The following is a 14,152-nucleotide window of genomic DNA, read 5'->3' on the forward strand; positions in this document are numbered from 1 at the left end:
TGGTGGAGGTTATGGTGGAGGTGGTGATGATGGTGGTGATGGTGGTGGCCATTATTATTGGAAGGGGAAGGGAACAAAGGAAAGAGGGTGTGGGAGGGAGGAGAGACGAATAAACCAGTGAGGGTAAAAGGTAAACATTAATTAATTTCACTAGGCCTGATAAGACTTGAGAGAAATGGAAACTGGGAGACAAACAGAAGTAGTGATAGAAGAAAATAACCTCCACCATTCCAGAAAATAATCTCCACCATCTGAGAAAATAATCTCCACCATTCCAGAAAATAATCTCCACCATCTGAGAAAATAATCTCCACCATCCGATAAAATAATCTCCACCAACCGAGAAAATAATCTCCACCATTTGAGAAAATAATCTCCACCATTGGAGAAAATAATTTCCACCATCCGAGAAGATAATCTCCACCATCCGAGAAAATAATCTCCACCATTCGAGAAAAAATAATCTCCATCATTTAAGAAAATAATCTCCACCATTTGAGAAAAAATAATCTCCACCATCTGAGAAAATAATCTCCACCATCTGAGAAAATAACCTCCACCATTTGTTCTGAATCGTGTGGTTTGCTAATGTCCTTTTACAGCCACTGTCTCATGCAATCTCCCAGCAGCCTGGGGAGTCTTATTATCTCCATCTTGCAGGTGAGGACCCAGAGGCCCTGAGGGAATACAAGGCACATGGGGAATATGGCCTGCCTCAGGTCTGGGGATGAAGAGAGGCCAGAAGAAGCCAGGCTCGGATGCCTCATCCCAAAACTGGGTTCTCCCCTTGGCCCTAGCCTGGTGCCTGAGAGTGCAGACCCGGATGCTCCCTCTTTGTCTTCCCACCCTGCTGGGACTCAGGAAACCGCATGGGCGGGTGGGAGGATGCTGAGCTCTCTGCCGGCAGCCCCAACTACAGATGCCTCTCCGTGCTCAGGCTTCTGGGCCAGCGCCCCCCTAACCAGAGCTCTGCTCCTCTGGGCCTCCTCCCGACTGGGCACTCGGATACTCTATGGTGCTGGAGCCACCACCTCTGTGCTCCCCTGGATGTTCTGGGCGGGGCCAGGCAAGGAAATGTTCCTCCCTGGGAAGCCCAGGGCAGCAGCAGCCACTCCCAGGCTGGCTCTGAGAGGCAAAACCTCCAGGAAAAGTGCCTCTGCCCGGTGGCCCCCACTCAGCCACTCCTCACCTCAACAGGTGGGGCCCTTGGGGCCAGGCCCACGTGACTGTCACAGCAAGACCACCCTTTCCTGCCCAGTAAACCCTGATTTCCTCCCCCAAGAGGCAGGGCTGGCACCAGCCCAAGCAGTACTCATGCACACGGTGGCAAGTCACACCAGCTCGGGGGGAGGGGAGGGCATGAGACTTCATTCAATTCTGGCCACGTCTGTGTAGTGAGCCCTTCGGCCTGGGCATTGTGCCAGGCATCCCAGGTAGGCAGGACAAAGGGAGGCCCTCAAGGAGCTCACAGTCCAAAACAGGGTAGAAGCTGGGCCGCACCCAAGGACGGCACCCTGAGGCTACGCAGGACAGGGAACCATCACCTGCCAGAGCTGGGAAGTGGAGGCCGTGGGGAGCAAGGCACTGCATTTCCGAGCCCCAATTCTGCAGCCGACTTGCCTGGAGCCAGCGCGCCTCTCTGAGGTTCAGCCTCTCATGTCAAAAGTGGGGGTCAGGGCCCTAGCTTGCAGGATTAGCAGGGTTCAGAGGCACAGGTACTGCTATTATTGCCGTCCTCAGGTGAGTAAGACATGGTTTCTCCCAGGCACCAGCATCTGTCTTGCTCTGGTTGTTGTCACAGGACATCTGGCCTGTGCACCACCTAAGGCCCCCTTTCAAGACCAAAATACAGGCTTCTCTGGCTGCCAGGGGTGCCAGCTGCTGAGGGTCCCTTTGGTGAAGGAGCCAACTCCCCCCAGGAGAGGAAGGAGCCATCCTCTCCTGGGGACAGCTAACCACTGACCAGTCAACGCAGGATGTAATGGCTGAGCCCCTGCCTTGGTCTGGAACCAAGCGGGACCACCCCTGCTCCCAAGTGCCCGTGAGATCACCTGAGGCCTCTGTTTCTATTGCACTGCAGCCCAACCTCACCCTCTGCCCCCCACAGGAGTTGTTATTAAGAGTGTTCCCCAGTAAACCTCTCCAGGGTCACCCTGGATTCTGATTCTGGTGAAGCCGCCCTGTGACAATGCCCCTTCCCATCTCGGCTGGGGCCCAAGAGCCGTGCACCAAATCCCTCATAGAAATGAGACATAGCACCGTCGCCTGCTATGCTGCCAGCAGCACCTTGGACAGACCCTGTGACATGCTTCCAACTCTCCGCTCTTCAATCTAGGGCAGGCATTTGTGCCCAGCTGACAGATGCCAGGTTCTGGGTAAGGATGGGGGCCACCAGCGAGAGCCCTGGACTCAAAGCCTCAGGGAGCCAGGTACAGGCTCAGCCCTGCCGTTTAGCCAGGCCACCCAAGGCCAGCACATCACCCCTCTGGGCCTCAGTTTCCTCATCTGTAAAACCATAACTGTAGTCTGGACAGAACCTTTACATTGGCAAAGAGCTGCCATGTCCCCTCTTAGGGGGCTCCACCAGAGCAGCATCAACCTTGCTAATCTTCAACTGAAGAGCCCAGAGAGGGCCACACTTGCCCGATGCCACACAGCCAGCTGATTCCAGAGCCGGAGCGCTGGGCACAAGCACCCTGCTCTGCAGCGGCCACTCACTCAATCCTTTACCAATCATTTCTGGAATGCCTTTTATAGTGAGGAAAGGGCAGATCTTTTTCCACAACATGACGCGATCTGGCAGCAGATCAGGAAGGAGAAGAGGAACGATCACGTATTCAATGATGACTGTGTGCCAGGCACTTCTCCAAGAGACTCTAACCCTCGCGGCAACGATGAGGCGAGGGGCTATATCCCAGCTTGGAGGGGAGGGGGCGGAGGCACTGGGTGCCCACAGAGCTAAGCCAGGGTTTACCCCAGGGCTGAGTCTGGAGGCTGGCACTGATATAGAGGGGCCACGGCAATGCCCTTGGCGCAGGAGCTAAGAATGGTGCTAGATGTAACCCTTCCTGAAGACATCCCCAGGTGGGGAGAGGCCTCATGCTGAAGGATCAGAAGGTGGAGCAGTGGGCACCTGCCATGGCCCTCAGAAAACCCTGCTGAGGGAAGGCACCTCTGACCTTGGCCATGAACTCCCCCTCCCCCAACCTGCCAATGAGATAGAAGCCAGAGGTGCAGGGCACAGGCCTCTCCACCAACCTGCAGCTGGGCCCAAAGGGTGAGTGGGAACCCCAGGAAATGGGACAGGAGACACGGCTCACTCATTTCCTGTGCGGAAGCTTCGGGCCAGGGCACCTCGCACAGACACTTCACACACATTCCCACAATAAGTCCTCACATGCAGGCTTTGATGGGACAGTGAGCCCATTTTATAGATGAGAAAACCGAGGCTCAGAGATGGCACCCTCCTTACCCGAGACTGAATGCAGAGGAAGAGGTGGAGCTGGGCTGTGAACCCTGAGACTTCTAGGCCTGGGGCTCTAAGGACATTCCAGATTCACAGAATCCAAAAGTCCATGTCTGACATCTCATGTGACCGCTCCCAGAGGGCCCAGCTCATCAGGCACCACACCCCTGCCCTCAGATCCTCTTGCTCAAAAAACACAGGTTGCCTTCCCCGGCCTCAAAGTATAGCACTCCCTACCGCAGGGGCTTTGCACAGGCTTTCTCTTAGCCTTGCACACTGTTTCCTGCTTACTCATTTAATTCCTACCTCCTTCCCATCATAGCTCTGGGCCCCCTCCTCCAGGAAGCCTCCCTGACTTCCTTCAGTCTTCACAGCCCTTATGTCAGCTGCGACGTTACTTTCACCTCTGTGAATATCTGATTTGCCATTACTATTGTTGGGTCAGGGCTTGTCTTCTCTCAACTGAACAAATGCCCCTTCTCCACCCACCCTCCCAGGCTCAGCCATGCAGGGGGCGTGAGCTGCTCTCTACTCGGGAGAACCACACGTCTCTAGCTGTTCTGCCCACGTGTCCGCTCCAGCCAGACTGGACACAGCCTCTGCAGGGCCCAGCTCTCTGCAACATATTTTCAGCAAATGAGCAGCCCTGTGGGGCATCCTGTGGGCTCCCCTGAGGCAAGACGGGATGGGCGCCCTCAGGGTCCAGGCATGTGGCTCCGAGGTCTAGGCCCACTGAGGGTGTGTGTGGAGGCAGCTCAGCTCTAAGGCTCTAGCAGTACCCAGTCCCACAAGGCTCAAGCACAGCTCCCATCCGCAGCCCCCCGTGAACCTGGTCTGGTCCCCTGTCCAGCCCCCTTCCCACCTTCATCTCTTGGTTGCACATCCAGGCTCTAGCTTCAGATCACCCAGGATCAAATGCCAGCTCACCTACTCCCTGGCTCACCTCCCACTCACCCACGCCCTGAGCAAGTCACTTAACCTCTCTGTGCCTCCGTTTCCTGGTCACAGGGTTGTGGGTAGAGTCAAAGGGATCACACATGTGAAATGCTTAATCTAGGTGCTGGCACACGGTCAGGGCTCAGCACCCCTTTGGGATTGTCAGTGTTCACTGGTTCACTAAACCCCTTTGCTAAAGCTTGCCCCAGACGGGGGGGAAAGCCCCCACCCCAGGTCTTAGCCAGGGAAGGGCATCCCCGGTGAAAGTCACAGGCTGGGGCAGGACAAGCCACAAGCATCCTGGTGCTCTCTCCAGCCTCGTGCCTCCCTGCCCACTGTGTGGGAAGCCTGAAACGCCTGAACCACATGACCCCAGGCCCAGGCCGGCTGGAGCCTGCTCTGTCCACATGGGTCTCCCAGCACCCTCCACCTCACTCTGCAGCCCCTTGTTTGTTAATTTCATTTCCCCGCTCCCCCTCTGAGCCAGGACAGAGACTGGTGGGGTCTCCAAGAGCCCGGGAGAGGCGGGTGGATCTGATAAACCATTCTCTTCCAGGGCCAGCACCTTCTCAGGCAGGCGGCAGCGCAGTCACACCAAGAAGTGATAAGGAGTCAGAAGAGCGGTGGGAATTCCTCCCTTCCTGCAGCAAGGCCATAAACCATCCTCATCCCCAGCACACAGGCTGCCAAGGGCTGCTTCCATCCGCCCAGCTGTGGGGGTGAGCACCTGGCGAGACTGGCGCCCAGCCTGAACGCACCTGCCAGGAGAATGGCCACAGGACAGATGACCACGTAGGACTCAGGGCCTCACACTCGCCTCTGCAGGAGGAAGAGACCATGGATATTCAGGAGCAAAGTAAGGAGGGCGAGCAGGCTCAAGGAGGAGAGAAGCGGGGCTCGAGGCTGGGAGGCCATGAATGCCGAGCCAGAACGTGGGCTTTGTGCAGTGGTAACAGGGAGCTATGGATGGTGTGGGGTGGAAAAAGCAAGGAGACGGGAGGGGAGGTGGGGTCAGGATGACCATAGTAGACACATGCTGGATCGCCACCCAGGAGGCCACTGCAGGGATGCAGGAGGGCTGAGAGGGTGGCCTAGCCACAGACGGTGGCAGAGAAACCGGGAAGCAGCTCAGGGCTGGCCGTGGGGGAGGCCAGAGGCTCTTGGGGCTGCAGGCCAGTGCCCATTCCCTTGCCACTCCCCCCACCGAGTCCCCTTCCTCCCCCTGCCTGCCTGCCCCATCCCCAAGCAAAGCCAAGTGGGAAAGTGTGGCCCCCGAAATGGCTGTGGGCTCAGTGGGAGGTGGAGGGAGTATGAACTCACCAGGGGCCACCAAGTTCAAATACAGGTAGGTCCTGGCCCAGAGTAATAGGAAACCCACCCAGCCATCTAGCAGAGGCCCTCGGCTGCCTGTGGGCCCCTTCCCTTGGCCTCCTCCATCAGGCAAGAGCTTAAGGCCTCAACAGGGACCCAGGCCCACCGCCACCCCATCTGAGTGGCCCTGCAGATTCCACTCCAAGCTGAGCAGACAACCCCTGGCCAGGGCCTCTCAGGGGGCCACCAGGCAGGCTGGAGGCTGCAGAGGCCTGGAGGGCACTGCCTTCTATGCTGTGGGTCTCAATTTCCTCATCTGCAGCATGAAACAGTGATCCTTCCTTCCAGGGCCATAACAAAGGGTCAATGAGAGGGCATCACAGTGAACTTGCTGAGCACAGGGCAGGAATAAGTCCCTGAGGCACTGACGTTTGCAGTGTCCCCGGGTGCCCAACATCCCTCCAAACACCTCGCTCCTTCCCCCCCACCTCAGGGCCTTTGTACACGCTGTTCCTCCTGCCTGCAACACTCTTCTCTGTGTCTCTCCCCTGCTGGTTGTTCTGAGCTCAGATGCTATATCCTCCAGGAAGTCTTTTCTATCCCCTAGATGAGGTCACAGCCCCACAGTCTCCCCCAAACCAGACTGAAAACTCCACGAATGCAGAACAGGGACTGTCTTGCTCACTGCTGTGTGTTCTTACTATTTATTAAATGAATAAATAAATGAGTGGATGAGTGAGACATGACAACTCTTGACCTTCAGTGACAACACAGGGCCATCGGGGTGGCAGGGCCTGCCTTGAGGGCTGTGGGCACCCATCCGAGCCCCTGATCCAGCCCACAGAGTCCAGGAAGTGTTCCCAGAGGAGGCAACAGTTCAGCCTGAATTCAGAAACTTGAAGCTGCAAGGTCACCAATACCTACTTTACAGATGGGGAAACTGAGGCCTAGGATCAGGGGCTGCCCGTGAATGTCCTGAGAAGCTGCCCTGCTTCGCTGGTCTAAGGCTCTGCCAAGTCCCCCACCCCTGAGTGGCCCATCTCATTCCCCTGGGGCTGCCCCACAGCCCACCCAGGGCCGCCACCCCCTGCCCCTGGTCATCCATCGAGCAGGTGGCAGGGCTGCTCGGGGCTGGGGCGGTCCTGGGCATGCGGTTGCACTGCTGAGTCGGGCAGCTGGCAGCAGCACAGCTACGAACCAGCTGTTTGGATGACAAACTGTGTTCAAGCTTCATTAGGGTAATCACGGGCTCCCCTCCCGGCAGCGCCGCGGAGCGCGACTGTCAACCTGAACTAATCAAACCCGGCCCCAGGACACCCGCCCGCCTGGCTGACAAGCCGCTAAGCCACGAGCCACCGGGTGCTGCACAGCTCCCGGCAGAGACCCAGTCCTGCCGCACGCCCTGGAAACAGCTGGCCTCACAGAGACCTACTGTGTGCTCCCTGAGATCTCGTGAGCCTCAGAGGCCCTATCAGGGAGGGACAATCACAACAGTCACTCCCATTTCTATAGCCCACGAGAGAAAGTGACTTACCAAAGCCACATAGCCTTGTGGGGTTAAGTCAGACAGGAACCCAGGTCCACCAGGGACCCCCATCACCAGCCCTATTCCCAGTGCCTCCCAGACCCGGGCAACCTTGCCTCTTCCTGCCCTTGAGGCCCAGCAGGCTGAGCTTGGAGCTCTGAGGCTGTGGTCAGATGTGTGGCCTCAGCAAGTCCCTTGACATGTCTAGGGCTTGAGCCCTGCACCCCAACAGCAGCCTGGGGGCTCTGATGGTGCAGGTGTGGAAAGCACTCTGCCAGGCACTGGGGGTGGTGCAGAACCTGCCTTGTAGTCTATGGTCACTACCCTGCGCAGCTGGGCTGTAAGCCAGCCCACTTGCCTTACATCCTCAGAATCTGAACTTAGCCAGGAAGGGAAGGTCTGGTTCCTTCATTTGACAACTGGGGAAAATGGGGCCAAGAGAGGGGTGTCAGAGATCACGGAATGTAGTGGAAAGAGTACAGGCTTTAGAGACAGATGGATATTCCTTCATCCACTCATCCGCTCAACAAATACTAGCAAGATGCTATCACATGTCAGGTGCTCAGGACTTGCTGAAGGAACAGATGACAGGAAGGAAGAGTGAGTGAACCAACGAAAGGCACCGGGGTCCAGCCGTGAACTCAGCAGACACCATCCCTGCCTCCTGGAGTTTTCTGTCTAGGGCGAGCAGATGCATAACAGATAACTATTACAAATGACATGGGCACTACGAACTAGCCTGATAACATGCACCAGGAAGGCCCTGCCTGGCAGAGGAGGTGATACTCCAGCTGGGCTCTGAGGGTATTAGCCAGGCAGGGAGAAGCTTGGGAGGTCGGAACAGCAAGTGCAAAGGCCCTGAGGTAGGAAGCAGCTCAGGGCTTTTGAGAACAAAAGGTCCCTCTATGTGGCTGGAGTGTAGTGACCAGTGCAGGAGCTGGAGCAGGAACAGCCAGGGGGAGGATCTCGGTCTCATTCCAAGGGTGATGGCAATGTAAGCAAGGGCAGCACTCTGGGTTCGACGGGGAGAGTGAGCGGGAGAGTTCAAATACCAGTTCAGCCAATTTCTTTCTTTCTTTCTTTTTTTGAGGCGGAGTCTCGCTCTGTTGTTGCCTAGGCTGGAGTGTAGTGGTACCATCTCGGCTCACTGCAACCTCCGCCTCCCGGGCTCAAGCAATTCTCCTGCCTCAGCCTCCCTGCTAATTTTTGCAATTTTAGTAGAGATGGGGTTTCACCATATTGGCCAGGCTGGTCTCAAACTCCTGACCTCAAGTGATCTGCCTGCCTCAGCCTCCCAAAGTGCTGGGATTACAGGCATGAGCCACCGTGCCCCGCACAGCCAATTTCTGATAAAGCAACTGCATGGGCAAACACGATGCTACAGGAAAGGGACCATGCTGTGCGGCTCTGTTTCTATAAAGTGCAGAGATGGACAAGGCCAGCCTCTACTGTCAGATGCCAGGAGTGGGGGCAGCTGCTGGCAGCAGGTGGGGGTTGACTGGGAGGAGCACGGGGGAGCCTCCAGGGGCACTGGGGATGTTCTAGGTCTGGATCTGGATGGAGGCTGCACAGCTACCTATAGCTGTACACTTAAGAAGTGTGCACTTTTCTGTATTAAGTTATACCTCCAAGAAAAAGTAAAAACAAAAGCCTGGCTGCGTCACTCTGCCTCTCTTAATCTCTGTTTTTGCATTGGCAAAATGCAATGGCAGGAGCTGCCCCACTGTGCAGAGGCTTTAGAGGACGGTGCACCCAGTCTGTGTGCAGTGGCAGGAGCTGCCTCGCTGTGCAGAGGCTTTAGGGGATGGTGCACCAGGGCTGTGTGTAGACAGTGGCAGGAGGTGCCTCACTGTGCAGAGGCTTTAGAGGATGGTGCACCAGGGCTGTGTGTAGACAGTGGCAGGAGCTGCCTCGCTGTGCAGAAGCTTTAGAGGATGGTGCACCAGGGCTGTGTGTAGACAGTGGCAGGAGCTGTCTCGCTGTGCAGAGGCTTTAGAGGACGGTGCACCAGGGCTGTGCACAAGCCTGGCTGACAGCCACTGCACCATGAACGCAAGTCACACAGAAGCAGAAAAGTATCTGGCTTCCACCACACCTTGGCCCTCTTTGAGCCTCAGTTTCGGTAAGGAACCAGTGGTCCCCACCTGCCTCAGAGGCAAAGGGGTAAAGGTGTAAAAACCCTCATATCAGGCCCCTGTGAGCCAGCTTGCCCCTCGCCACAAAGTGGAGAGCAATTCAGAGACCAGAACACACAGTATGCCTACTGCTCCACGCAGTAGGTACTAAGCCTGTAACTCACTGCCCACAGCCACACACAGAGGAAGGCGATAGAAGGCAGGCCTAGCCCAAGCTTCCAGGTGCCCAACCTGCTCACCCACTATGTGCCAGGCCTGGCCTAGGGCTTCCCTCTAGGAGGAGCACCGGCCCACCACGATGGCTCCTCCAGGTGCCACTGGGACACAGGACCATAGGCACAAGCGCAGTGGGAACCCAGGCCAACGGGTGGCCCCTGCCTGGGGCTGGAGTTTAGCAGACTCCTGTGGGAACAGGCTCACAAGGTTCCAGATGAGCCACCAGATAAAGGTGACTCAACATAATGGTACCCTTGGTGTCAGAGGGGCTGCATGGCCAGGTGCCCCTCACACCATGGGCAGCTGGAAGCAGGGAGAGGCCTGGTTCCCTGTCCAGAGCCTGAACATCTCACCCTCCTCCCTGGGACCTTGGGTGGCCTTGGGAAATCAGACTGGTGGCAACCTCACCAACAATTTGTAGGCTCAGCTGTCCTCACGGCCCTTTAATATCATTTTCTCATGAGTCTGCCAACAACCTAGGGACAGGGCCCGGGGTCAGAATCATCATTGGCTCCATTTTACAGAGGAGTACACTGAGGCTCTAGGAGGTTTGGTGTCCCAGGGGTACCCCAATGAGGAGTCAAGAAGCAGCTAGATGGCTGGATGCCCATGGTCAGCCCCTGGGCACAACTCAGTCCCCTGTGCCCTGTCCTCCCCATCACCTGGGGGCTGCTCACTCAAGCAGCCAGTTCACTCAGTCAGTCAACAAACAGCAACTGTGTGCTGCAGCCACTGTTCTAGGAGCTGGAGGCAGAGCAGGGAACAGGCTAGGCTGCAGGGAGGTGGTTCCGAGTCAACAACCGCTCCAGCCCTTACACACTCGGCACATGCCGAGAACAACAGTGTGGCAGACACACTGGCGCCTGTCATGAGCCAGGCGCTGCACTGAGACTATCACATCTAATTCTCTAAGCAGCCTCACAAGGGTGGAATAGTCATCCCCATTTTACAGATGAGGACGCTGAGGCTCAAATTCAGGGCCTTGCCTGAGTGTAGTCTCACAGCCTAGTCTAAGTGGGGAAGGATCTGGCCCCAAGCACGTGGGCTCCTCAGTCCTGTCTGTCCGTCCCATGGGACTTTTAGTCCTTTGTGTGAGTTGTCGGAAGGGAACCTTGCTCTGGACCTCAGCAATGGATGGATCTAGCAGGGCCTCAGGATGAACCAGGACCCAAGACTCCACACCCCATCCCGTGTCTCAGGCCCTGGCTGCCTACAGTATCCAGAGCTGTACACCCTCTGGGCCCGGAGCCCAGCCTGACTTTCGTTCTGCATACGCTCCTGGGACCTGGGCTCCACAGAGACATCCGAGACCATTCCTGCTCCCGGGGCCCTGCCCACATCAGCTCAGCCCCAGCAAAGATCCCAGTTTTGTGCTGGCCCCCACCAGGCAAGAGGGGTGGGGAAACAGACAAGAAAGCAAGGAGTCCCACTTGGGATGCTCTCCCCGCACACCTCCCATGGCTGGCACCTTCTCCTGCCCCTGATAAAGGCTCCCTGGCCACCCTGCCTCTATCAGCACCCCCTGCACCTCCCACTCTCTCTCTGGCACCACTCAGCTTTTCCACACAGCCCTGCCCACAGGCCGGCACCAGCCACGTTTTCACCTGTTTGCTGTCTGTCACTCCTACTCCACTGTGAGCTCCTCGAGGGTGAGAACCTGGTCTGCTTTATTCACAAATGTAGCTCTCCCCATCCCACCCCCAATCAGTACCACATCTGGTGCATAGTAGGGCTGCAATATCCTTATTAAGGGACTGCATTTGCTGAATGAATACTGACTGGCAGAGAGAATGCGAGAACACAGTGCACGCATCTGTTACCCCTGACTCTGAGCAGACAGCAGGGGGGCAGAGAGTGGGGAAGTGTCCCAGGCAGAAGGCATAGCAGGGGCAGAGACCTGAGGGCAAGAAAGAACTGGGCTCTGGGACCTCTAAGTGCAGCTTCTGAGTGCGGCAGAAGCACAGGACGTGAGACTAGGGAGCCAGTAGGGTGGCAAGGGGGTGACAGGGAGCCCTTCAGGGTGCCAGCTCTGGGGTGGGGGTGCCCCAGCACTCAGATCACGCCCCCAGCCCTGCCCAAACCAGCAACGAGCCTGGCCCCTAGCCCAACTTTACCCCCGAGGCCACCTGTGGTGGGCAACCAAATCTGGGGGCCAGCCATCACTCCTCCTCTGCCCAGACACCAGGAATACAGTCCTGGCACCCACCCACAGGTCTGGGAGCCAACCTGCCACCATGCAGGCTGCAACCTGTGACCTTGGCCCCATTAGCGTGGCCTCCTCCAGTCAAGCAAACCAGCTGGCGCCAAAAAACAGAGCAGGTTGGGTGAACTCCTCATTGCAGAGGATGGCACGGCTGCAGGCAGCAGGAGACATCACTTACACGCTCCAGCCGGGATCTGTTGGGGAGGGGTGGTGGTGGCAAGAACTGGGTGTGTCCAGGGCAGCAAACAGCTCTCACACCCAGGCTGGACTGACCTGGCATGGCTCGGGTAGCTAGGTTGGAAAACCCACCCCAGACAGCCTCTCTCTCTCCAGGCCTCAGGCTGGGCCTCGGCTCCCGCCCCCTCTCCCCTTGGATGACCTCAGCTCTGGATGCCCCCGGAGCACTCCAGCCAGAGGTTCCCTGCTCAGGCCTGCTTCAGGCATCCCTTCTCCTGCATGCATCCCAGGCATCCTATCTGGGCTCTTCCCTCCCCCACCTCCCCATGCCACGTGGACTCTCCCAGCTCCAGCCCCACTGCCATCTCCCTCCTTCACCCGTCTCTGCCTCCAAACCTGCTACTGAGACCCTCTAAAGGGTGCCCGCCACCTTTAGAATAAAATCCCAGGCATCTCCTGGCCCTACTGGCCCACATGGCACAGTCTGGCCCCTAAACCCCCTCCACACACACACCTATCCACCATACTCCAGCCACAATGGCCTCCTTTCTGCCCCACACCCAGACAAACTCAGACCTGCCACAGGGCCTTTGCACGGGCCCCTGACTAGGGTGCTCTTCCCCCTGACCTCCCTCACGACTGGTACTCCTCGCTCTTCAGGCCTCAACTCAAACATTTCCTCTTGCAGAGACCTCTCCAGAGGACCCTGGCCAGCGGTATCCACATGTGCACCCCACCCTGATCATCACCACACAGCACAGAACTGCTTCCCATAGCCACGTATCTTCTTCCTTGCTCACTGTCTGTCTCCCCATCAGCCTGGGAGTTGCACAACACAGTGGCTGTGCGTGAAGAGTCACTGCTGTGCCCTCGGGCCTGGCACACAGCACTCCACACATCTGTTCACTGAATGAGTGCATGGAGTCCTGGTCTCCATGGCGCAGTCAGATCTGACCACATCAGGGGCTCCTGGGCCCTCCAGATGCTGCTGCCTCATGTCCAAGGCCCCTGTGGTCTAGCCCTGACACTGGGGTGCCTCCTGTCACTGATTCCCAAACCCACGCTGCCATCATGCCCTCCCTGCCACTCCTCTCCCCCTTATCCTCTCCCTGGCACCTCCTCTGACCTGCCCAAGCCCATACCTCCCCCTCCTGCCTGTCCCTCCCCCAGTCTTCAGTACCTTCAGCTCCCATCCCTGCTCACCCTTGCATTCACAGCCTGGCATCAGCTTCCCATTCCCCACCTTCCTGCCTGTCACTTCTGCTTACAAGCCCTGGTGCCACTGCCAATGCTTGGTGTCCCCCTCATCCTGTGCTTTTGTACCTCCAAGCCTTTGACCACTGCTATTCCCTCTGCCTAAGGGCTCTTCCCCCTCTTCTCAGCTGGATGAGCTCTTATTCATCCTGCAAGACCCAACTCAAAATGTCTCCTCTTTTGTAAAATCCTGCCTGATCCTTCTCCTGCATCAGTCAGGACATTACTGGTTGCAAGAGAAAGAAACACAACTCAAAATAGCTTGAGCAAAAAAGAGAACATGTTGATTTATATAACTAAATATTCCAGGGGTAGTTTCAGGCATTCTGGATCCAGAGGCCCAAATTAAGTCACCTATCCATCCACATCTGGGCTCTGCCTCCTTCCATGTGATGACCTTATCCGCAATCCTCCATCCTAAATGCAGCTGTGGAAGAGGGTGGCCGGTGGCCTCATATTCACACCCTTCAGTTTCAACAATCACAGCTGAGTCCAAATCCAGAATGGGCCTGGGAGGGGGTCTCAGGCCCTGCATACTCAACCTTCAGTCACAGTTCCAGGGAAGCCTTTGACGGGCTCAGATGGGCCACATGCCCCTTTCTCCACCAGTCACTGTGGCCAGAGGGAGGGGGTACTGGGCCCCACCTGGGTCCAGTGGGGGCATGCGTCCCAGGAAGAAAACCCTCTGGGCCCAGGTCCTACTCTGTACACAACTCCCGCCTCGGTCTCCACGCGTCCCCTGAGATCCCCCACCGCCCTGGATGTTCACGGTTCTGCAGCATGAGAAATCCCCTCGCAGCTGGGTCCCCAGTGCCCGCTCCGTGACAGCCCCAGAAGAGGGCCGGAGAAACTTTTCGTCTGAATGGAGGTCGGCTGCACAGAGGAAACTACACGTGCTGGGTGTGTAATAACGGGTTAACCATCACCCC

General features: G+C 57.2%; 1 protein-coding gene across 2 annotated transcripts in view, besides 1 other annotated feature; it reads right to left on the minus strand.

Moving 5' to 3' along the window:
- Positions 1 to 14,152, minus strand: part of TCF20 (transcription factor 20) — a 183,525-nt gene that overhangs the window by 164,181 nt on the left and 5,192 nt on the right. The gene's annotated exons all lie outside the window — the stretch shown is intronic.
- Positions 1,211 to 1,838: an enhancer, noted in NCBI's record as "H3K4me1 hESC enhancer chr22:42721410-42722037 (GRCh37/hg19 assembly coordinates)". NCBI's record gives its function as "activates a minimal SCP1, AML or CMV promoter by ChIP-STARR-seq in primed H9 embryonic stem cells {active_cell/tissue: H9 hESC(primed)}" and the evidence as "EXISTENCE:reporter gene assay evidence [ECO:0000049][PMID:30033119]".

This window comes from Homo sapiens, chromosome 22 (genome assembly GCF_000001405.40).
Source record: "Homo sapiens chromosome 22, GRCh38.p14 Primary Assembly".
Classification (NCBI taxonomy): Eukaryota; Metazoa; Chordata; class Mammalia; order Primates; family Hominidae; genus Homo; species Homo sapiens.